The 25,688-nt window shown below is 40.1% G+C and overlaps 1 protein-coding gene and 1 non-coding gene across 50 annotated transcripts in view; both read left to right on the top strand.

Moving 5' to 3' along the window:
• MGA (MAX dimerization protein MGA) overlaps window positions 1-25,688 on the top strand; it is a 148,717-nt gene that overhangs the window by 69,944 nt on the left and 53,085 nt on the right. For all 49 annotated transcript variants that reach the window (XM_017022029.3, XM_047432300.1, XM_047432302.1 and 46 more), the window contains 7 exons: window positions 4,908-5,856; window positions 7,696-7,774; window positions 7,897-7,992; window positions 16,561-16,692; window positions 16,937-17,041; window positions 19,524-20,182; window positions 21,984-22,329. In XM_017022029.3, coding sequence (XP_016877518.1) covers window positions 5,215-5,856; window positions 7,696-7,774; window positions 7,897-7,992; window positions 16,561-16,692; window positions 16,937-17,041; window positions 19,524-20,182; window positions 21,984-22,329 — 2,059 coding nt within the window. In that variant the 5' untranslated portion in view covers window positions 4,908-5,214. The remainder of the gene's footprint in view (window positions 1-4,907; window positions 5,857-7,695; window positions 7,775-7,896; window positions 7,993-16,560; window positions 16,693-16,936; window positions 17,042-19,523; window positions 20,183-21,983; window positions 22,330-25,688) is intronic.
• Window positions 418-511, top strand: MIR626 (microRNA 626). The gene has a single exon (NR_030356.1). It is a non-coding gene; the product is annotated as a microRNA 626 (primary transcript).

Below are 25,688 nucleotides of genomic sequence, written 5' to 3' on the forward strand. Positions count from 1 at the left end.
TAAACGTGGGATATTTTTCTATTTATTTTGGTCTTTAATTTGTTTCAACAGTGTTTTATAGTTTTCCATGTATAAGTCTTAAACTTCTTTTGTTAAATTTATTCCTAAATATTTTATTCTTGTTGATGCTATTGTAAAATGGAATTACTTCCTCATTTCACTTTTGACATTCATTGCTAGTTTGTAGAAAAACAATTTGTGTGTGTGTGTGTCTTGGATCCTGGAATCTTGCTAAACTGATTTATTAGTTCTAATAGTTTTTTAGTGGATTCTTTAGTATTTTCCATATACAAGATCATTTACCTGTGAATAGAGATAGTTTTGCTTTTTCCTCTACAATCTGGATGCCTTTTATTTCTTTTTCTTGCCTAATCATCCTGATAGAATCTCTAGTACAAGTAAGTAGACGTGGCAAGAACTGATATATTTGTCTTATTTGAGAGCTGAGGAGTATTTTTATGCAATCTGAATGATCTCAGCTGTCTGAAAATGTCTTCAATTTTAAAGGCTTCTTTTGGTAGGTATAGAACATTAGTTTTTCTTTCAACACTTCATGATTGGCGGTAAAGTATATTGTCTTCTGACTTACATAGTTTCCATTGAGTCACTAGTCAGTCTGTTGTTCTCTTTGTTGTTCCTCCAGTGTAATGTCTGTTTTTCCCTCTGCTGCTTTCAGTATTTTTCTCTTCATCTTTCATTTTCAGCAGCCTGACCTTGATGTGCCTAGATATGACTTTTTTTTTTTCCTTCTATTCGTCCCCATTGTTGCTTACTGAGCTTCTTGGATCTGTGGGTTAAAATCTTTTGCTTTTGGAAGATTTTTGTTCATTTTCTCTTCAAGTATTTCTTCACTTTGTTTCTCTTGTCTTTTTGGCAGGGCAGTTACTAGTATGTTAGATCATTTTATGTTGTCCCAGAGATCTCTGACACTTTTTTGTTTTGTTTTGTTTTGTTTGTTTCTCTGTCCTTCAGTCTAGGTGATTTCAAGTGGCTTCCTATTTTAGTAAATTTCAGCTCACCTCTCGTTTCAGCTGTGTCAAGGGAGGAGTGGTTGGTCTCCTATCCCTGGCAGGACCTTAGGACCTAAGCATTGGTAGACTACATGTTCTCTTATTTCCAGGCCAGCCTTTCTGCGGCACTGCTGTTTGTTCTGCAGAAGTCCTCTGGAGGGGGTGGTAATTGGACAGCAGTGAGGACTAGTTTCCTATTTGGGGTCCTCGAGATTCTGCCCATGCTCGGGCATTAAAAGTTGGTTTCTCTGTGTTTTTGCAAAGATCCTTTGCCTATAGTTGCTTTTTTCTCTCCTTACTGTATCTTCACACAGTGCAAATGCTGCTTAGGGTTGAAAGCAGTAGCTATCTCCGGTCACCTAGAGAAGGCTGATCTTCTTCTGTAATTCACTTCATTTAGGCTTATTTATGTCTAGAGGTCTTCAGTATCTTGTAAGAAAAATAATTTAGTGTTTTCTCATGGTTATGGCAAAAGTGATGATATTTTGTGATCTTCCACATTCTAACTGGAGGTGGAAATCTTCCATTGGAGGATTTCCTTTTTCTTTTTTTGAGACGGAGTCTCACTCTGTCACCCAGGCTGGAGTGCAGTGGTGCGATCTTGGCTCACTGCAACCTCTGCCTCCTGGTTTCAAGCGATTTTCCAGCCTCAGCCTCCCGAGTAGCTGGGATTACAGGTGTGTGCCACTGCATCCAGCTAATGTTTTGTATTTTTAGTAGAGACGGGGTTTTACCATGTTGAACTCCTGACCTCAGGTAGTCCACCTGCATCAGCCTCCCAAAGTGCTAGGATTATAGGCGTGAGCCACTGCGCCCAGCCAATTTTTTAAAAAATATTTTAGTACAGATGAGGTTTCACCATGTTGCCCCCAGAGTGGTCTCAAACTCCTGAGCTCAGGCAGTCTGCCTGCCTCGGCCTCCCAAAGTGTTAGGATTACAGGCACGAGCCACCACACCCGGCTTCTATTGGAGGATTTTCTTTTTTTTATTATTATTATACTTGAAGTTTTAGGGTACATGTGCACAATGTGCAGGTTAGTTACATATGTATACATGTGCCATGCTGGTGCACTGCACCCACTAACTCGTCATCTAGCATTAGGTATATCTCCCAATGCTATCCCTCCCCCCTCCCCCCACCCCACAACAGTCCCCAAAGTGTGATGTTCCCCTTTCTGTGTCCATGCGTTCTCATTGTTCAATTCCCACCTATGAGTGAGAATATGCGGTGTTTGGTTTTTCGTTCTTGTGATAGTTTACTGAGAATGATGATGGAGGATTTTCAAGTAAGGTTAAAATCTTAAGTAGAAATTGTGCAAGGAACAAGTAACTACACATTCATGTAATGGTTGCTTGTGCCTATTTTAAGTTTTATAAAGTTTTATGAAGACACTGGGTTAGCAAGTAGTGAAAAAAATAGTACTTCATTAATGATGGCTTGGTGTTGAAAATGTATTTTATTGGACTGAGACACTAATGTAATATTTTCTGTGTGATTGGATCCTATGGAGTATACTGCAGGTTATTGTTTAAGATGAGGCTGAAATGGCTGAGGATAAATTATATTGGGCTTAGAAAAGCATCCCAGATATTTATACTTTTTTCTTTAGTTTCAGAAGCCTTTGAAATGCTTTTGGACAGGCAAGTAACGTCAATATAGTTCAATATTTTAGGAAGATAAATTCAGTAATAAAAGTAATGGATGTGAAAGTGTCTCGATTATTGGGGATATTTAATTTTATTGCCTTTTCTTGTGATTTTGCCCCTCAAATCACTGCCTTGCAGTGATTTCTGCAAGAAATCTAAGAAAATATTTCTTAGATTTTAAGAAATATTCTGGGGGGAAAAAACTGTTTAGTGTAACTTTTCTAGTTCTAAGTGGAGGAGGGTCAGTCTGCTCTGAGCTATTTCACACTATTAATGGAAACCTACCTACCTAACTTTTTAAAAAGTGACTGGGCCGGGCGTGGTGGCTCACACCTGTAATCCCAACACTTTGGGAGGCTGAGGTGGGCGGATCACGAGGTTAGGAGTTCGAGACCAGCCTGGCCAACATGGTAAAACCCTATCTCTACTAAAAATACAAAAATTAGCCGGGCGTGTTGGTGCATGCCTATAATCACAGCTGTTCGGGAGGCCAAGGCAGGAGAATTGTTTGAACCTTGGAGGTGGAGGTTGCCACTGTACTCCAGCCTGGGTGACAGAGCAAGACCCCATCTCAGGGAAAAAAAAAGTGACTGATCAGAAGAAAATATTTTAGTTGTGTAAATGCTGTTTTCTTATTTTTGAAATTTTAAATTTTTTGTTTATTTATTTTAGAGGAGGCATCCTGCTCTGTTGCCCAGGCTTTTTTTCTTTTTTTTTTTTGAGACGGAGTCTTGCTCAGTTGCCCAGGCTGGAGTGCAGTGGCACGATCTCGGCTCACTGCAAGCTCCGCCTCCCAGGTTCACACCATTCTCCTGCCTCAGCCTCCCGAGTAGCTGGGACTACAGGCGCCCGCCACCACGCCCAGCTGATTTTTTGTATTTTTAGCACCGTGTTAGCCAGGATGGTCTTGATCTCCTGACCTCGTGATCCACCTGCCTCGGCCTCCCAAAGCACTGGGATTACAGGCGTGAGCCACTGCGCCCGGCTCCAGGGTTTAATTCAGTGGTGCAATTGTAGCTCACTGCAGCCTCGAACTCCTGGGCACAAGCAGTCCTGGCACCTCAGTCTTCTGAATAGCTGGTACTACAGGCGTGTGCCACCATGCCTGGCTATAAATGCTGTTTTCAGTCATAGGCTTTGAACTATTTAAAAAAAAATGCCCACAATCCTTTGTTACATGTTATTTGTTAGTGAATATATATAGTGGTGTGTATAGTTTTTCTCAAAGCAGTTTTCATCCTGCTTTCCTGTGCTGCTAACGTGTTGACTTGTATGGATATTTTGAGGTGGGGGGAAATGAGAGGTGCAGTTTTAGAATTTCTGAGTCTGAGAATTTTAATTCGTCATTACTTTATGTGGAATCTTTTTTTTTTTTTTCTTTTTTGACACAGGGTCTTGCTCTGTCGCCAGGCTGGAGGCAGTGGCACAATCTCGGCTCTCTGCAACCTCCGCCTCCCGGGTTCAAGCGATTATTCTGCCTCAGCCTCTTGAGTAGCTGGGACTACTGGCATGTGCTACCACGCTGAGCTAATTTTTGTATTTTTAGTAGAGATGGGGTTTCACCATGTTGGCCAGAATGGTCTCAATCTCTTGACCTTGTGATCCGCCTGCCTCAGCCTCCCAAAGTAGTGGGATTACAGGCGTGAGCCATCGCTCCTGCCCAATTTTTTATTTCTACCATATTCTCAAGATACATTGGTACAGTTCTTAGGCTTTCAATGGATGATTGGGAGGAGGGGGAAACTAGATGTTTATGTTGTTTTTGGATGAATTATACACAATATATCTGGGTCATACGTATTTGCCTTTAACTCCCTATCTTTTATTTTGGAAGAATTAGTGGTGAATTCTTTATATTGAAAGTGAGTTTTTCAATTTTAAAGTTGGAAAATCATCTGGCAACATCATGACTATACTAAAAACCAATGAATTGTATACTCTAAAATTGCTGCAATATTATGTTTTATGTTATGTGAATTTAATCTCAAAACATACAGGAAAATATCAGCTGGCAGTTTAATGGCCCTTTCCGGTTTGTGTTGCAATTCTTAGTTGTGATGGATGTGTGTTCGCTTTACAGGGTTGTTAATCACCGTGTGGATTTTTAGAGTTTTTGAGTGTTTTTGAGGAATGGCTCAGGAAATCTGATGTGTTACTTGGATTCCTAACATCTTTTTTTTTTTTTCTCTTCAAGTCTTGTTAATGGATCATTTTGTACTTTTAAAATCCCTTTCTCCTCTCTCTCTCCAGTCTTATTGCCAGCAGTTTTGAAGATGACTCCCGTGTAGCCTCACCGTTAGACCAGAACGGAAGCTTCAATGTTGTTATTAAAGAGGAACCTCTAGATGATTATGACTACGAACTTGGTGAGTGCCCAGAAGGGGTCACTGTGAAACAGGAAGAGACAGATGAAGAGACGGATGTATACTCAAACAGTGATGATGATCCTATACTAGAGAAACAGCTAAAGAGGCACAATAAAGTTGACAACCCAGAAGCTGACCATCTATCTTCTAAATGGCTTCCAAGCAGCCCATCAGGTGTTGCTAAAGCTAAAATGTTCAAATTAGACACTGGAAAGATGCCAGTAGTCTATCTGGAGCCCTGTGCTGTCACCAGAAGCACAGTTAAGATTTCTGAACTCCCCGATAACATGCTTTCCACATCTCGAAAGGATAAATCTTCTATGTTGGCAGAATTGGAATATTTGCCTACATACATTGAAAATTCCAATGAGACTGCCTTCTGCTTAGGCAAGGAATCAGAAAATGGTCTTAGAAAACATTCACCAGATCTCAGAGTGGTACAAAAATATCCCTTACTGAAAGAGCCTCAGTGGAAATATCCTGATATATCTGACAGCATTAGCACAGAAAGAATACTCGACGATTCAAAGGATTCAGTTGGAGACTCACTTTCAGGAAAAGAGGACTTGGGCAGAAAGAGAACAACTATGCTTAAGATTGCAACAGCCGCAAAGGTAGTGAATGCTAATCAGAATGCCTCTCCAAATGTCCCTGGAAAAAGAGGAAGGCCACGAAAATTGAAACTCTGTAAGGCAGGACGACCACCTAAGAACACAGGAAAGTCTTTAATTTCTACAAAGAATACACCTGTAAGCCCTGGGAGTACCTTTCCAGATGTGAAGCCTGATCTGGAAGATGTGGATGGTGTTCTCTTTGTTTCCTTTGAATCAAAGGTAAGATTGTAATTTTCAGGATTCTTTAAGGCTAATTAGTCATACTTGAATTGTATACTGGCTTGTAAGTAACTCGATTTACAATCTAGTTTTGTGATATCTATTTGTGAGGGTGTATGGGGGGTGGAGTTGGGAGGGAAGTGTCTCCAAAATGTTTGGTTTAGTTAATAGGAATAACTTAAGATACTTCATTTGAATAGACTTAAAAAAGTATGTCTTGCTTAGATTTCAGTTTACGATTTTTGCATAGCTGTGTTTAAAAAAAGTCTTCGGGTCTTACTGGAATTTTCATCATTATGGATTTTGGAAAGGACTAAAAATACATGAAATATTTACTAACTCTTTGGTGACGCTCCATTTCTTTTACCTCCTGGTTTTCTTTTATTTTTCTTTTCTTTTTTTTTTTTTTTTGAGACAGAGTCTTGCTCTGTTGCCCAGGCTGGAGTTCAGTGGCACGATCTCAGCTCACTGCAATCTCCGTCTCCCGAGTTCAAGCCATTCTCGTGCCCCAGCCTCACGAGTAGCTGGGATTACAGGCGTGTGCCACCACACCCAGCTAATTTTTGTAATTTTGGTAGAGACGGGGTTTTGCAATGTTGGCCAGCTAATTTCTAACTTCTGGCCTCCAGCAGTCTGCCTGCTTCAGCCTCCCAAAGTGCTGGGATTACATGCATGAGCCACCGCTCCTGGCCCTGGTTTTCAGTAGTAGTAGTAGAGTACCATTGGAGAACCAAATATTAACAGTCATCTTAACTCTCCTGTCTTACACATTGAAGTCTCTGTTTATTCCACTCTGACTCTTCAACCAGATTATTTTTCTTGGAAATTTTTATAGAAGCCCAGTCTTTTTTTATTTATTTTTTGAGATGGAGTCTCGGTCTGTGGCTCATGCTGGAGTGCAGTAGCGCAATCTTGGCTCACTGCAAACTCCGCCTCCTGTGTTCTTGCCATTCCCCTGCCTCAGACTCCCGAGTAGCTGGGACTACAGGTGCTCGCCACCATGCCCGGCTAATTTTTTTTGTATTTTTAGTAGAGACGGGGTTTCACCATATTAGCCAGGATGGTCTCGATCTCCTGGCCTCGTGATCCTCCTGCCTCAGCCTCCCAAAGTGCTGGAATTACAAGCGTGAGCCACTGCCCCTGGCCTCTTTTTTTTTTTTTTTTTGAGACGGAATCTTGCTCTGTCACCAGCTGGAGTGCAGTGGCACAATCTTGGCTCACTGCAACCTCTGTTTCCCGGGTTCAAGCAGTTCCCCTGCCTCAGCCTCCCGAGTAGCTGGGACTACAGGTGTGCATCACCATGCCCAGCTATTTTTTTTATTTTAGTAGAGACAGGGTTTCACCATGTGGCCAGGATGGTCTCAATCTCCTGACCTTGTGATCCACCTGCCTCGGCCTCCCAAAGTGCTGGGATTATAGGCGTGAGCCACTGTGCCAGGCTGTCTTTCTTAATTGACTACACAGATGTTGGATATTTAATCCCTTCTACCTGTTCTTTTCCTCCCTTCTTGTTAGCTGAGTAAGCTATCTGAATATAGGCTCTGAGAAGTGAACATGCAAATTGGCGTATACTTTGAGGTCAGTTAGCTCAGTATGACATCGTATTCACATTTTTTTACTTCCCCCTTTTCCCCTTCTGATTATTAAAGTAATATTAATGTAGAACACTTAGAAAATATCAAAAAGTATGAAAAAATTGCTCCTGTTCTGCCAATGTTAGCGTAACTGTAGGCATGGAGATATTTTCCTTCTGGTCTTTAAGTTTTTTTTAATCCTGTTTTACATTTAAGTTTTCAGAAGCAATATGAACTACTATTTTTTTTTTTTTTTGATGTATAGGAAGCTCTAGACATTCATGCAGTTGATGGGACAACAGAAGAATCTTCTAGTCTCCAGGCATCAACCACAAATGACTCAGGTATTATAAAATAGTATAAAAAGAGTTGTATTTGTGGTTTGGGCTCCAGCAATGAAACATGCAACATTCATTTGTCTGTAGTGTACAGTAGCTTATTTTATTACTATTTATTTTGGGTGTAGGTTACAGAGCAAGAATTTCCCAGTTGGAAAAGGAATTGATAGAAGATTTGAAGACTTTGCGGCACAAGCAGGTGATACATCCTGGTCTTCAAGAAGGTAATAGACTAGCGACTTCTTTTTTTTTGTTTTCTTTTTTTCTTTCTTCCCTACTGTTTCTCCTCTTTTTCCTCTCTCTTTCTCATCTCTTTTTTTCTGTTTTTTCCTCTTTCTTTCTAGCCTTGATTTCATTTCTTTCAGCACGTCTTTCAGTTTGCATATTTTTCTCTTCTCTGTCTCCATAATTCTTCCCTTTAGTTTAAAAACCATGTCTAATATCTTATGTAAGAAAAAAATGTATCATGGTAAAGCAAGTGATATTTTCTTTGTTCATTCTTATAACCTGGTATTCTCCCCTTCCCGTTTCTCATCTTAATTTGGTTGCTTTTGTTTATGTGTGTGTGTGTGTGTTTGTTTGAGACGGAGTTTCGCTCTGTCGCCCAGGCGGCTGGAGTGCAGTGGTGCAATCTCTGCTCACTGCAAGCTCCGCCTCCTGGGTTCATGCCATTCTCCTGCCTCAGCCTCCCAAGTAGCTGGGACCACAGGCGCCTGCCACCGCGCCTGGCTAATTTTTTTGTATTTTTAGTAGAGACGGTTTCACCGTGTTAGCCAGGATGGTCTTGATCTCCTGACCTTGTGATCCGCCCGCCTCGGCCTCCCAATTATGTGTTTGTTTTTATAATTTTGGAGGAAGGGTCTTCCTTGTCCTTTAGTAGTATATTTAGGTGTGTAAACAGTAGAATACTTTTCTGTCTCATGTTTTGGCTGCAAACATCTATTTTATATATTTGATGTACCACTGGGAAGTTAATTTAAAATTTTCATTATCTTTTTTTTTTAAAATTTTACTTTGAGTTCTGGGATACGTGTACAGAATGTGCAGGTTACATAGTTATACATGTGCTATGGTGGTTTCCTGTACCTATCAACCTGTCATCGAGGTTTTTTTTTTTTTTTTTTTTTTTGATGCGCAGTCTCGCTCTCGCCCAGGCTGGAGTGCAGTGGCACGATCTCAGCTCACTGCAAGCTCTGCCTCCTGGGTTCACACCACTCTCCTGCCTCAGCCTCCCAAGTAGCTGGGACTACAGGCGCCTGCTACCATGCCCGGCTAATTTTTTTTGTATTTTTAGTAGAGACGGGGTTTCACTGTGTTAACCAGGATGGTCTCGATCTCCTGACCTCATGATCTGCCCGCCTCGGCCTCCCAAAGTGCTGAGATTACAGGCGTGAGCCACCGCGCCCGGCCCTGTCATCTAGGTTTTAAGCCCTGCATGCATTAGGTGTTTGTCCTAATGCTCTCCCTCCCCACCAACAGGCTCTGGTGTGTGATGTTCCCCTCCTTGCATCCATGTGTTCTCATTGTTCATCTCCCACTTACGAGTGAAAACATGCAGTGTTTGGTTTTCTGTTCCTATGTTAGTTTGCTTAGAATAATGGCTTCCAGCTTCATCCATGTCCCTGCAAAGGGCATGAACTCATTCTTTTTTATGGCTGCAGTTTTCATTTTTATCTTTATTTTATTGTAATGCATTATCTTGACCTTGATTATGTTGCTTAATCTTTAAAAAAACATATCTACTATGGTTATTAACATCATGATCACTACCAATTTTCCTGTTTTGGGGTGTAATGAAAAATTTTAGGCTGTGCCCCAATTTTTAGTTTCTTACGACTATCTTTGATTTTAGATAGGCATCTTGGAGTAGTTTTTTGAATTTTTGACTCATTAATTTTCAGAAGGGTGTCTAGACTATTTACACTATAAGTAGTTCATTTACCTGAGAGTCTAAACATTATAAGTTATCAAACAAAAGATTTATATGCTGGTCATTCCGTTTCTAAATCAAATGGTAATACTTGAAGAATTTTTGCTTTAATGGAAGGCAGCTTGTGTGACAGTGCGATCTTAAAAGTGTGCAGATCCCAGTCTCAGTCAATCAATGTGGGCTGATTGCTGTGGATTGTAATAGACAGTCACATCATAGCAATCTTGCAGATAACGTTTGCTGCTGTTTATTGTCAGCTTTAGCTTCTGCTATTTTATTTAAATAATATTATCTTATTTCTCCCTATCTTTTTTTCTCCCCTTTTCCTTTCTTCATTTCTCCCTATCTTTAACTTAACCTGTCTTCTCCCTTTTCCACTTCCATTTTTTTTGTTATTTTCTTGATAATGTAGAAATATTATGACATTTATATTGTGTTCTTTTAACTTAATCTCCCACATTTTAAAAATCTTAGTTCTAGAGTTAAATATATTCAGTGCTTGCAGCTGGTCCTTTTGCTCTGGTTTATTTGCCTAGTATTTGCTGGTTGGCTAAGCTTTGACTGTTTTTCTTTCTTTTATAGACATCTTAGTCAAATTTGTAATCGTTTCCTTAATGGAATGGGGTGTTCAAAGGCCAGTGTTTATGGAAACTGACTAGGTAACATATATAGTGAAATTAGCCTGAATTTGGGGGGTAGAGTTGGACTCTGGTCGGGTAGAGTACAGGCACTTCTTCTAAAGGGACAGCTGCATCAGTGGATTGTTGTCATATGGAAAAATGGGCCCAAAATTCTCAGGTCTGCTCATAGTTCAGTAGAAGCTGGAGTGGCTATGTGATGTCTCTGAAGTGGTGGCAGCTAATAGTTTTTTGGGCACCTAACTCAAAGCTTTAAAAACACAGCCAAACAAAAGGTGTCTGAGCTATTACTTTTCACCTTCTTTATAGATTCTACATTTGGTGCAAGTTTGTATTTAATCCTAAGGTTTTTAAAATTTATTCAACTACATGCTGACACAGTTTTGTTTTTTTGAAAAACAATTAAATCTGTAATCTGTCTGGTACTTACTTTTCAATGTGTGAAGTGGAGTCCTGTTTTGGGTTTTTTTTCCTCTATTTTATTTTAGCATATTTTTCTCCCCAACCTTGGCTTCCTTTAAAAAGCCATACTTGGGCCAGGCTCGGTGGCTCAAGTCTGTAATCCCAGCACTTTGAGAGGCCAAGGCGGGTGGATCACTTGAGGTTGGGAGTTCGAGACTAGCCTGGCCAACGTGGCGAAACTCCGTCTCTACTAAAAATACAAAAAATTAGCCAGGTGTGGTGGTGAGCACCTGCAATCCCAGCTACTTGGGAGGCTGAGGCAGGAGAATTGCTTGAAAACCCGGGAGGCGGAGCTTGCAGTGAGCCGAGATCGCGCCACCACACTCCAGCCTGGGCGACACAGTGAGACATTGTCTCAAAAAAAAAAAAAAAAGCTGGACTTAAACAGTTTCTGAAGAGTAAGTTAATTTGGCTAAATATTTGTATTAACTGGGTGATGCCAATCCCAGGGCTCTGAAGAGAATGAAAGTATTCCAGGTTCATCTCTAAAATTTGATTCTTGAAATAATTTGTTGAATTTCAACTTAATGTCATATTTCCTTGTCCTGCTATTAACTATAATTTCATTAATTAGAAAATAGCAGTTAAACTTCTTCTGAGCTGAAAACCCTTGAAAAACTAGAAAAGCTTTTTGAATTTGCTTTAAAATTGGGAAAGCAGTGTTGATTAAGCCTGGGAAAATGTTATATTGTTGTTGGTAGTTTTACTTAAAAATAAAATAAGATTCTTAATTTTTCTTTCCGTGGTACTATATTTTTGTTTGCTATATTTACTGTATCTACATTGGTCTGCTTTTTAAGTCTGTTAGCTTATCTGAAATTATCGTCTGTCTTTGCATTTTAAAAGTGTGTTTAAAGCATTTCTCCTTCATTGCTACCAAGTCAATTATTGTCAGTTTTTTATTAAAGCTTTATGTTTTGGAAGAGTTTTAGATTTATAGAAAAATTAAGAACACAGTGCAGAGAATACCTATTTTTTTTCCCCCCATTCCTAATTCTCTCAGTATCCAGAATTTCTCCTATTAATATCTAACATAAGATTGGTACATTTGTTACAGTTAGTGAACCAGTACTGATATATTACTATTTAAAGTTCATACTTTATTCAGATTTCCTTAGTTTTTACCCAATGTCCTTTTTTTTGCATCTAGGATCCCATTCAGGATACCACAAGACTTTTAGTAGTGATGTCTCCTTAGGATCTTCCTGGTTGTGACAGTTTCTCAGATTTTGTGTTTAATGACCTTGACAGTTTTGAAGAGTCAGGTATTTTTATAGATGTCCCTCAGTTGAGACTTATCATCTCATCATATCAAGAGTACATACATTAACATGATTTATCACTATTGATGTTGACCTTGATCACCTGGCTAAGATATTGTCAGTTTATTCATTGTGAAGTTACCCCCCCCCCCACTCCCCACCCTCCCTTTCTCTCCATATTGTACTCTTTGGAAGGAAGTCATTATGCTTAGCTCACACTTAATGTGCAAGAAGTTATATTGTACCTCCTTGAGTGTAGCCTATCTATATAAGTTATTTGTAGTTATTTTGCACCAGAGATTTATCTATTCTTCTTTTTAAAAAATTCACTTAGATGAAACTCCATCTCTACTAAAAATACAAAATTTACTGGGTGTGGTGGTGCGTGCCTGTAATCCCAGTTACTCTGGAGGCTGAGGCAGGAGAATTGCTTGAAACTGGGAGATGGAGGTTGCAGTGAGTGGAGATCCTGCCACTGCACTCCAGCCTGGGCAACAGAGCGAGACTGTCTCAAAAAATAAAAATAAAAAATTCACTTATCAGTGTGGACTCTTGTCAGTTTTAATGTTTTGTTTTGGTTTTTGGTTGTTGTTTTTGAGACAGGGTCTCGCTTTGTCACCCAGCCTAGGCTATAGTGCAGTGATGTGAACATGGCTCACTGCAGTCTCGACCTCCTGAGCCCCAGTGATCACATGTCAGCCCCCCAAGTAGCTGGGACTACAAGCACATGCCACCACACCTGGCTAATTTTTTTTGGTATTTTTTTGTAGAGATGGGGTTTTGCCATGTTGCCCAGCCTGGTCTCGAACTCTTCAGCTCAAGAGGTCTGCCCGCCTTGGCCTCCTGAAGTGGTGGGATTATAGGCATGAGCCATTATGTCTGGCCGGTTTTAATGTTAATTTCCTTTATGAGTAATGACAATATTTCAAGAACTGTCTTCCTCTTCCTTTTTTAGTAATTTAATAAAAATGCTTTATTTTTCCTTAAAATATTTTTTTTTAGAGATGGGGTCTCCCAGTTTTGCCTAGGCTTGTCTCAAACTCCTGGCTTCAGCCCATCCTCCCAAGTAGCTGGAATTACAAGTGTGAGCCATGGTGCCCTGCAGTAAAAAAAAAAAAATTCTGAATGTTACATTAAATTAGTGATTAGCGGCCAGGCGCGGTGGCTCACGCCTGTAATCCCAGCACTTTGGGAGGCCAAGGCGGGTGGATCACAAGGTCAGGAGATCGAGACCATCCTGGTAACACGGTGAAACCCTGTCTCTACTAAAAATACAAAAAATTAGCCAAGAGTGGTGGTGGGCACCTGTAGTCCCAGCTGCTGGGGAGGCTGAAGCAGGAGAATGGCTTGAACCTGGGAGGCGGAGCTTGCAGTGAGTGGAGATCGTGCCACTGCACTCCAGCCTGGGTGACAGAGCAAGACTCCGTCTCAAAAACAAAACAAAACAAAAAAAATTGGTGATTAGCTGGAGTTTTCCTTATAATATGTGCTTTTCTATTCTGTGTTTACTACTTATATAGGTGTTTATAGAACTATAAACATCTTGAGTGTACTTTTGTATTTCAGTGGTTTTAGCTAGCAGTTGGCATTTTTGGCTATATCTTATTGTAGGTGAATCTGTCTTTGCTTGAATCTAAAGGTTATCTCTTTTCAGCTTTATCTTTATGAGTCTTTTTTTGTAATGACATTATAACACATTTTTAAGAAGTAGCTTCTAATATGGTGAAATGAAGCAAAACGATTTAGAAATATAGTTTAAACTGACATGTAGACAAGATTTTAGGTTCTAAGTAGGCTCTGGTTGAATAAAAATATAAAAAGATAATAGGTTTTTCACAATATGCTTTCTATGAATTATTCAGCCAAATTATTTTCTGCAAGCTAAAGTTTTTATGCCCATTTCATATGAAATCAGCTGAGTCTAGGTCTCAGTTGTCTGTTACTTGGGGAAGGATTTTCTTGCATGACCTCAGGTGATCTGCCCACCTCAACCTCCCAAAGTGCTGGGATTACAGCTGTGAGCCACCATGTCCGGCCTCAGATTTCTTTTTGTTTACCTCTCGTAGGGACTTATTTACCCTATGCTACCTACTGAAAGTCAGTTGGGAAAACATAACACTAAAGCTTCTTGAGGTCTTTTTTTTTTTCAAGACAGGATTTTGCTTTTTTGCCTAGGCTGGATGGAATGCAGTGGCACGATCATGGCTTGCAGTACCCTCAACCTCCTGGGCTCAAGCAGTCCTCCCACCTCAGTCTTCTGAGTAGCTGGGATCACAGGCACGTGCCATTACACCCAGCTAATTTTTAAATTTTTTGTAGAAATGGGGTCTTAACCTGTTGCCCAGACTCATCTTGAACTTTCGGGCTCAACCAGTCCTTCCTCTTTGGCCTCCCAAAGTGCAGGGATTACAGGTGTGAGCTGAAATGCCAGGCCTGCAAAATGTCTTTTATCTCTCTGAGATCACCTGCTTTACAGAGAAAGTGCAGTAGATTCTCAAAGCATACAACTGAATGTGGTGGATTGGTGTTCATTTTACTGTTGAGAAAACTAAAGAGAAGTTTAGCCCAAGTCATACAATTAAAAAGTAGTAAAGGCAAGATTAGAAATCATTGTTTTGACTCATTATCCTATATTTCCCGTAGTTGATTGGGAACATGAGGAAAGGCTGTTTTATTTGATTGATGTTTTAATCATACTGTGTGATTAAATACAATAAATATGTAATACAGGCCAGGTGCGGTGGCTCAGGCCTGTAATCCCAGCACTTTGGGAGGCCGAGGCGGGCGGATTACGAGGTCAGGATTTCGAGAGCAGCCTGACCAATATGGTGAAACCCCGTCTCTACTAAAAATACAAAAATTAGCCGGGCCTGGTGGCACACGCCTGTAATCCCAGCTACTTGGGAGGCTGAGGCAGGAGAATCGTTTGAACCAGGAAGGCGGAGGTTGCAGTGAGCCGAGATTACACCATTGCACTCTAGTCTGGGCAACAGAGTGAGACTCCATCTCAAAAAAAAAAAAAAAATGAATAAATAAATATGTAATACAATAAAGATATGTTAAAGAACTGGAATTGCAAACTAAAACAAAATAGCTGTCTTTTTTTTTTTTTTTAAGAGATGTGGTCTTCCCACCTCAGCTTTCCAAGTAGTTGGGCCTACAGGTGCACGCCACAGTGCCTGGCTTGCCATCTTTTGTTCAGATAGATTTTATGTATAGGATACATGGGGTTCATAACCTACCTAATGTCTTTACCTGTTAGAGAACCAGCACTACGTGAGCTTTTTACTGGAAACTTACGCCTGTGACTTTTAATGGCTTTACTATGATACTTAACACTTAGCTTTTTTTTTTTCCCTTTTTTTTTTTTTGAGATAGAGTCTTACTCTGTCTCCCAGGCTGGAGCGCAGTGGCATCATCTCGGCTCCTTGCAATCTCTGTCTCCCAGGTTCAAGTGATTCTCCTGCCTCAGCCTCCTGAGTAGCTACAGGCACATGCCACCACACCTGGCTAATTTTGTACTTGTAGTAGAGATGAGGTTTCACCATGTTGGCCAGGCTGGTCTCGAACTCCTGACCTCAAGTGATCTGTCTGCCTTGGCCTCTCAAAGTGCTGGGATTGCAAGTGTGAGCCACCAGCTCCGGCCAATAATTAACGCTTCACTTTGAACTTCTTTTGGCTTCAGTTTTATTAAAATTTAAGTTAAATACCTTCCCAAAATATTGCCTCTTAACCTATAAATAAGGAAGTCATAATATTTTTAGGCTTGATTAACCATAAATGTCATTAATAAGGACTAGAGAACCAGTAGCCATAATCAGGCCAGCAGCTTAGTCTATGGTGAGTTTGTAATAGAGGCCTTAGACAGTCTCTGGACCACAAAGAGTTAAAGCACAAGAGATCTGAATTTTGCTCTTTTTTAATTAGTTACCTTGCTTAATAAATTATCACAAACTTAGCAACTTAAAACGATATATTTACTGTATCACAGTTTCTATGTGTCAGCAGTCTGGGCATAGCTTAGTTGGGTCCTCTGCTTAGGGTCTCACAAGGCTACAGTCAAAATATTGGCCAGGCCTGGTTTCTCAGAGACTTGGTTGGAGAGGGATCTGCTTCCAGTTTCCCTCAGCTCATTGGCAAAATTTATTTCATTGCAGCTCCAGCAAGATGGATAACTTGTGTTATCACATGCACATTATCATGCACGTCCCATCTCCCTTACCACATTTTATTGATAAGAAACAAATTACAGGCCCTGCCTACCATAGTCGGGGTGAGGGGAGTTATACAAATGTGTAATACCAGATGTCATGGATCATGGGGCCACCTTAAATTGAATCTGCTACAGTTTGTTTTTTTCATTGTTTTTGCTCTTCACTATCTCCTTTCTCTCTCGACCTTACCCCCCCGCCATCTCCCAGGCACAAGTTAAAAACAAAGAAGGGAGATAATATGATTTCTGATTAATCTATGGAAATATGATTTCCTTTTTTCTTTTAGTGGGCTTAAAATTGAATTCAGTGGATCCAACAATGAGCATTGATCTTAAATACTTGGGAGTACAGTTACCTTTGGCTCCAGCTACTAGCTTTCCTTTTTGGAACCTTACAGGAACCAACCCTGCCTCTCCTGGTGAGTATGTAACATTTGTAAAGTCAAACACTATTTTTCTTGAAGTTTACGTTATTTGTAACGTAAGTAAAAAGCTACCTTTATTGGTGACATTTAACATTAGTCTAAGATAGATCTTTTGTCTGTTGTTATAGTTTTGATAAGTGATTTATACACTTACCAAATTAAAGTTTTATTAATTAACTAGGTCCATAATATTGGCCTGCTAGAATTTTGGTCATCTGTTTGACTTTTTCTTTTATAGATGCGGGATTTCCCTTTGTTTCTAGGACAGGGAAAACCAATGATTTCACTAAGATCAAGGGATGGAGGGGAAAATTTCATAGTGCTTCTGCATCTAGGAATGAAGGTAATTAGTTTTTTAAAATTTTTTAAATGTTCTGAAACATGTAGCCAGAAACCTTTTGTTAAAAGTAAGTCTTGGTTGTTTTTCTTCATTCCTTCTCGCCATGGGTTTTTTGTTGTTGTTGTTGTTGAGACTGAGTTTTGCTCTTGTTGCCCAGGCTGGAGTGCGATGGTGTGATCTTGACTCACTGCAACCTCCACCTCCCAGGTTCAAGAGATTCTTCTGCCTCAGCCTCCCAAACAGCTGGGACTATAGGCATGTGCCACCACGGCTGGCTAATTTTTTGTATTTTTAGTAGATACAGGGCTTCACCATGTTGGCCAGGCTGGTCTGGAACTCCTGACCTCAGGTGATCCGTCCGCCTCGGCCTCCCAAAGTGCTGGGATTACAGGCGTGAGCTGCCGCGCCCAAGCCTTCCATGGTTTAAAATGAACTGAAAATACTTGTCTTGCTGTTTTCTGTCTGCTACCCATTTTCCTGTAGTCACAACCCTGAGGTTCAGTCAGGCTTAAATAATTGCTGCAGCCTTTTTAACAGCATTTCTGTTATTTCTGTTTCTGCAGTTACAAAAAACATTCTCAAGCATTAGTTTAGAACTGTATACTTCAGAGTTTTATAGTGATTTCCTATAGTCTTATACTTCAAACTAAACTAATCCAAGCATTTTGACTGTATCCCTCTTGGTCTCCGTTCTTAGTGCTTTTCCTTGTTCACTGCATTCGTTTGCAATTTAACCAGATAAATATGCCAGTTTTCCAAAATACTTTTCTCACCTTTTGATCTTTTCACAGTATTTATAACAATGTAATTCATGTCTCTGTACTTAATTTTTTTGTTTCTTAAAAACTAAATTTTGTGGTTGGGCATGGTGGCTCATGCCTGTAATCTACCAGCACTTTGGGAGGCCGAAGCAAGCGGATTGCCTGAGCTCAGGAATTCGAGACCAGCCTGGGCAACATGGTGAAAACCCCTCTCTACAAAAAAATGCAAAAACAGCCAGATGTGGTGGCGCATTCCTGTAGTCCGAGCTACTTGCGGGGCTGAGGTGGGAGGATCACTTGAGCCCAGGGAGGTTGAGGCTGCAGTGAGCCAAGATCACACCACTGCACTCCAGCCGGAGTGACAGAGCGAGACCCTGTCTCAAACAAACAAACAAAAACCCAAGTAAATTTTACACGCCTCTTCTTGTGGTCTTCCTTTTTCTCTAATGTTTTGTATCACACTCCAGGCATTCCAGTCTTTCTCCCTCGCTTTTTAAAGACGGGGTCTTGCTCCATTGCCCAGGTTGGAGTGCAGTGGTCCAATCTCAGCTCACTGCAGCCTTGACCTCCTGGGCTCAAGTGATTCTCCCTGCTCAGCCTCCAGAATAGCTGTGACCACAGGTGTGCGCCACCATGCCTGGCTAAGTTTTTGTAGAGCTGGGGTTTGTGATGTTGCCCAGCCTGGTCTTGAACTCCTGAGCTCAAGAAATCCACCTGCCTTGGCCTCACTAAGTGCCGGGATTACAGGCATGAACCCCCGTGCTCAGTCTCACTCTCATAAATAATCTTTTGGCATTCTGTTGAGGCCTGCTTTAATTTCTTTTTTTTTTTTTTTCCCCTGTTATGTGTTTTTCTTTTCTTTTCTTTTTTTTTGAGATGGAGTTTTGGTCTTGTTGCCCAGCTGGAGTGCAGTGGCGTGATCTCGGCTCACCGCAACCTCCCCGTCTCGGGTTCAAGCAATTCTCCTGCTTCAGCCTCCTGAGTATCTGGGGATTGCATTGCAGGCATGTGCCACCATGCTCAGCTAATTTTGTATTTTTAGTAGAGACGGGTTTTCTCCATGTTGGTCAGGCTGGTCTCGAACTCCCGACCTCAGGTGATCTGCCTGCCTCAGCCTCCCAAAGCGCTGGGATTGCAGGAGTGAGCCACTGTGCACAGGCTCCCTGTTACGTTTTTACTTATCTTTGGTCTCTTTAATCAGGTCAAAGATTGTCAAAGATTGAAGATTCTTAGGTTAAATACATTGTTAGCACTTTGTAAGAATTAGTGCCTCAATAAATAATATAATGTGATAGTTTTAGAGTAAGACATAATTTTAGAGAATGGATTTTAATGTTTTTAGTGCCCAAGACTAGAGAATGGATTTTAATGTCATTAATATCTGAGACTCATTCTCTTCACTTGGTTTTATTTATTTTTTCTTTCTGAGGAGGGATAGTTTGTTTATTAAGTATTTATTTTAAAAAATTTATTTATGTTTTTAGGGACAGGGTCCTTGTTACGTTACTTAGGCTGGTCTTGAACTCCTAGCCTGTAGCGATCGTTTTGCTTCTTCCTGTCAAAGTACTGGGATTACAGGTGGGAGTCACTGTGCCCAGCTAAGGGATAGTTTAGAAGATTCACTATCTTGTAGCTCAATATTCTTGGCCATTTTTAGTGTTTTTATGGAGATTCATAAATCTGTCCTAGATTTCTTTAAGCATTTTATGTTTTCTTATTTCTAGGTGGAAATTCAGAAAGTTCACTGAAAAATCGTTCTGCTTTCTGTAGTGATAAGCTAGATGAATACTTGGAAAATGAAGGCAAGCTGATGGAAACAAGCATGGGTTTTTCTTCTAATGCTCCCACATCTCCTGTGGTGTACCAGCTTCCCACTAAGAGTACCAGTTATGTACGAACACTTGATAGTGTACTAAAGAAGCAATCTACTATTTCCCCTTCTACCTCTTATTCTTTGAAACCTCATTCTGTACCCCCTGTCTCTCGAAAGGCAAAGTCTCAAAACAGACAGGCAACTTTCAGTGGCCGAACTAAATCATCTTATAAATCCATTTTACCATACCCTGTTTCACCAAAGCAGAAATACTCTCATGTGATTCTAGGAGATAAGGTTACCAAGAATTCTTCAGGCATCATCTCAGAAAATCAGGCGAATAACTTTGTTGTGCCAACTTTGGATGAAAATATATTTCCAAAGCAGATTAGTTTGCGGCAGGCACAGCAGCAGCAGCAACAGCAACAGGGAAGTCGCCCTCCAGGCTTGTCTAAATCTCAGGTGAAGCTAATGGACCTGGAAGACTGTGCACTTTGGGAAGGAAAACCAAGGACATACATCACAGAAGAGCGAGCAGATGTATCCTTAACAACTCTACTTACAGCTCAAGTAAGTAGCTGCTGTTTTCTGGAGGTATATTAGTGCTTGGCTAGAAAGAGCGAGGTTAGTGAGGGGAAATGGGAATGGTACTTTTTGGCAGGGTGATCAGCTAGTTTTTAGCATTTAGAACCTTCATGGGAACTAAGGCTATGTCTTCCCCATTTGTTCTTTACCAACTAGATACTCAGGTGTAGATTTCTCCTGCCATCAGAGAGAGAGAGTACAATTGCACTTTTGAATAACCTCTCTCTCCTGTATAAAGGCAACTGACCATTCTGAAAATCTCTGATTTCATTTTCCAACATATGGGCAAGTACATTGGCTGATCTTGTTAAAACAACTTTGAAAATTGTGCTTTTATTTTTTATTTTTTGAGATGGAGTCTCGCTCTGTTGCCCAGGCTGGAGTGCAGTGGCAGGATCTCAGCTCACTGCAACCTCCGCCTCCTGGGTTCAAGCTATTCTCCTGCCTCAGCCTTTCGAGTAGCTGGGACTATAGGCACATACCACTGCACCTGGCTAATTTTTGTATTTTTAGTAGAGACACGTTTTCGCCATGTTAGTTAGACTGGTCTCGAGCTCCTGACCTTAGGTGATCCACCTGTCTCACCTCACAAAATGCTGGGATTACAGGCATGAGTCACCACGCCCGGCCTGAAAATTATGCTTTTAAAAGATACTAAATCCCAGGAAATTGAAAATTAAAAACCTCTGGAGAGAAACCTTTATCTTTTGTGAAATTTTGTATTAATAATTTTTCACTTATTTATTTTTATTTTTATATTTTAGAAGTTTTATGGCAAGGGTTGCAGGAAGGAATTTTTGATCTATTGATGATGTACCTATCTTAGCAGCCTCTGGTGCATGTGAAATGATGCCACAGCACATTTATTTATTTATTTATTTGTTTTTGAGACAATGTCTCACTCTTGTTGCCCAGGCTGGAGTTTAGTGGCGTGATCACAGCTCACTGTGGTCCTCCCACCTTAGCCTCCTGAGTAGCTGGGGCCTGTAGGTGTGCACTACCACGCCTGGCTAATTTTTTGTATTATATTAAAAATACAAATGGGGTTTTGCCATGTTATCCAGGCTGGTCTCAAACTCCTGGGCTCAAGCTATCTGCCTGCCTCGGCCTCCCAAAGTGCTAGGATTACAAGCATGAGCCACTGCGCCTGGCCTTCATCATTACTTTTTTTACTTTCCATTTTGTAATTCTATGACTGAATTCTGGAACTGAAGATCATCAGATGTTGGAACTAAATGCAGATTATTTTATTCGTTATTAATCCTTCATAAAGACTTTTATTTATGTATTGTCCTATTCTTTTTTTATTAATTACCCTACAATAGGGACCAGCAAACTTTTTCTGTAAAGGGCCAAATAGTAAATATTTAAGGCTTTGCAGACCATACACTCTCTATAGGAGTTACTGAACTCTGCTGTTGTAGTTCTTCAGACGGTATGTGTATGAATTAGCCTGGTTGCGTTCCAGTGAAACTTTATGACACAGGCTGGATTTGGCCCATGGGTCTCAACCTTTGTTAATCTTTGCGTTAGAACATTATGTATAATTTATATTGAAAATAAATCCATCCTTGATAGTTTTGCCCATAATTGTCTGTACTAAGCATTAGAATGGCAGATTGTTTAGAGCCCTGGTTAGATTCATGTTCTGTCCTTTGAATCTGCATTAGTCCTGTGCTGTTAGTACTTAAAATCAGAGAGTAATGCAGTCCAGTATATGACCATAAGTTGGTGGTGGTGTAGGGGGATGGTTTAGTGGAATTACAATTTTCTCCTTTGACTTTAGGCATCCCTCAAAACTAAACCTATCCACACAATCATAAGGAAACGAGCCCCTCCCTGCAACAATGACTTCTGTCGACTGGGTTGTGTATGTTCCAGTCTAGCTTTGGAGAAGCGCCAACCTGCTCACTGCCGCCGACCAGACTGCATGTTTGGTTGTACTTGTTTGAAAAGAAAAGTTGTACTTGTTAAAGGAGGATCCAAAACTAAGCATTTTCAGAGGAAGGCTGCTCATCGAGATCCAGTATTTTATGATACTCTGGGAGAGGAGGCAAGGGAGGAGGAAGAAGGAATCAGGGAGGAGGAGGAACAATTGAAAGAGAAAAAGAAGAGAAAGAAGCTAGAATACAGTGAGTATTAATTGAGAGTTAAAACTGTGCCATATCAGTTTTTGGAAAAGTATGGTTATTTTAGAATAATACAACCTACCTTAATCCCGATCAATTATCCAATAAGAGCTTTGAGACTTCTTATTATCCTTACATGCTCTTTCTGACTGGCTATCTGAGATGCACACAAACACACACCTTTTTTAAGTTGAATTGTTCTCTGAGAATTGCTTTTTTGTGCTAAATTTAAATCATACTGTTACTTGGTTTTCTAGAATGCCCTTGATCTTTGAGTTTCTTCCATTTTCTGGATTGTGCGCATGTGCACACACACACAGGTAGACACACGTACGTTCCTTGGAAAGACTATAGATGATCCATATAATGCATCATGTTTTCTAAAAGGAGAAGTTTGCAAAAAGACCCTCTGCTCATGGTTGGAGATTTGGGGACAAAGTAGGATTGTGGTAAAGCTGAACATCATGTACTGTGTTGAAAATTGGGTTTTTTTTTGGTGGGAGAGGATAAAATATGATGTAGATGTAGACCCAAGTTACATATTATTTCATTATTGATTTTTTCGTTTCTGTTATATCTTTGTATTTTGTTCAAATGTATTGAAATGATTTTACCGTATAATTGAAACAGGTTTCTTAGTTTATCAGGGGATTAATACTCCTTTTCTTGGCAATTTATGTTTACACTTCCTGTTGCTCTGTGTTCATTTCAATCAGAGATGATGATTAATATTTCAGTGTATGTTCCATCATAACGTCATGTTCTGCTTTCCACATCAACAATTGTAGATCTAATTTTATAATGTTAGTTTTAATGGCTTCATGTTGTTATAATCCCTTTGGTTGGATAGTTAGCCTTTTTGGGTTTTCTTTATTATAAGCTGTACGGTGATGAACATCCATGTTCAAGACAGGCTATTAAAAGTGGAATTGCTGTGACAGTGTGTACATGTTAAACATTTGTAGATGTCACTAGACTTGTGCCAACTTCAGACGTATGCCAGTAGTCAGATACTGGATGGTGCCAGTTTTCTGTTCTCTTGCTCTGTTGCCCAGGCTGGAGTGCAGTGGCATGGTCTCAGCTCACTGCAACCTCCACCTCCTGGGTTCAAATGATTTTCCTGCCCCAGCCTCCTGAGTAGCTGGGATTATAGGTGTCCAGCTAATTTTTTTATATTTTAGTAGAGACGGGGTTTCACCATGTTGCGTAGGCTGGTCTTGAACTCCTGAGCTCAGGCAATCTTCCTGCCTTAGCCTCCCAAAGTGCTAGGATTATAATAGGCATGAGCCACTGTACCCAATTAGTTTTCTGTTCTAACACTGAATATTTTACAACTTTTAAAACTGTCATATGGATAGGCAGAAATTGATATTTTGTTTTAGATTTGTATTTCTTCTATGATAGATTTATTGACCATTTATCATAAACTTTTTTTCTGTAAATTGCCTTTTTGAATTCTTTGCTAACTTTTATTGGAGTGTGTTTTTTTCCTTTAGTTTGCAGAAGCTTTATATTTTCTAGGTTATAATTTTGTAATTTACATTTTCGTTTTGTTCAAGGTTCCCTCCCCCACTGCCCACCCGCCCCCAGTGAAAAAGCAGTGATAGTTAAACTTGGCAGTCTTTTCTTTTTATGGTTTCTGTCTTTTTTTTTTTTTTTCTTTTTTCTTTTTTTGAGACAGAGTCTCACTCTGTTGCCCAGGCTGGAGTGCAGTGGCACGATCTCGGCTCACTGCAACCTCCACCTCTTGGGTTCAAGCAATTCTTCTGCCTCAGCCTCCCAAGTAGCTGGGACTACAGGCATGCACCACCACACCTGGCTAATTTTTCTATTTTTAGTAGAGACGGGGTTTCACCATATTGGCCAGGCTGGTCTCGAACACCTGACTTTATGATCGGCCCACCTCGGCCTCCCAAAGGGCTTGGTTTCTGTCTTTAAAGTCTTGTTTAGAAAGTCTTTCTCTACCTTGAGATTATAAAAATATTTAATTATATTTCTTCTAGTACTTTTTTGGACTTAAAAAAAATAAGTTGTTAATATAGCTGAATTTATTTGATGTGGGATTTGTAGTAGGGAATCATATTTCCCCCAAATGCCTAGCCGTTGTACTATCACTTATTGAGAAATATACTTTTCCTACTGAATTAAAATGTCACCTGTAATATAATAAATTAAAATATATTAATGACTGGATCTCTTTCTGGCCTCTCCTGTTTTGTGACCAGTGCCAGGGTATTCTTATTTCTATTTTAGCATTTAAGTGAGATATAGTGTATTTAAATACCTAAATGATCTTTGTGTAAATAAGATTTTAAAGGTTTAAAATGAAGCATAGTGTAGATTTATTAGTTTAGTTCTACCCATATCTCCTTACTGAGTTTACTCCCTTCTTATGCTTAAGACAAGCATTTCCATTTCAAAGCAACAAAAATAAAATACGGAAGCCCACATAAGCAGGAATAGTGCTTACCTCTTAGGCTTTACTGCTTTTTGATTATTGTCTTCATCCTGTGCCCTATCCTTGACTATAATTAAACTCCGATAGCCAATTATTAAAGTATTTTTTTGTTTTCTTACTGGTACAGTTCATTATAAAAAGCAAAGCTTGCTATTCCCTATCTAGGAGCCATCAGTTTTCTTGTGCTGTTAGGGAAGGATGAAAAAGGAGGGATGGCTGGGCACGGTGGCGCAGGCCTGTAATCCCAGCACTTTGGACGGCTGAGGCGGGCAGATCACGAGGTCAGGAGATCGAGACTGTCCTGGCTAACACGGTGAAACCCCGTCTCTACTAAAAATACAAAAAAAAAAAAATTAGCCAGGCGTGGTGGCGGGCACCTGTAGTCCCAGCTACTCCGGAGGCTGAGGCAGGAGAATGGTGTGAACCCGGGAGGCAGAGCTTGCAGTGAGCCGAGATTGTGCCACTGCACTCCAGCCTGGGCGACAAAGCGAGACTCCGTATCAAAAAAAAGAAAAAGAAAAAGGAGGGGTGATATTTTTGTTAACAACTGATATGTAAAAGGAGTAGAAACAGGAAAGAGTTCTTAGAGGTAAACATGTTGCCGATACCAAAAATGGACAAAGAAAAAATATAAAAACTGGAAAAGTTGAAATCCTTTAGTATGTTTTGCAAAAAGATAGGTGGAAACTGAGGGTAAAAAAAAGTAAGTTATGAAATTGAGGTATAAGCATTTTATTTAGAATGATTGAGTGTAACCACTAAAAATAAACATAAATGTTTAAAAGTAGTCACTTGTCACTGCAACACTGGGTATGATGGAAGACTTGTTTCTTTTTATATTCTTTAGCACAGTTTTTTGTGTGTTTTTATTATATAGTTAATATATAAAAAATTAGTCTTCTCA

Source organism: Homo sapiens, chromosome 15, assembly GCF_000001405.40.
Source record: "Homo sapiens chromosome 15, GRCh38.p14 Primary Assembly".
Classification (NCBI taxonomy): Eukaryota; Metazoa; Chordata; class Mammalia; order Primates; family Hominidae; genus Homo; species Homo sapiens.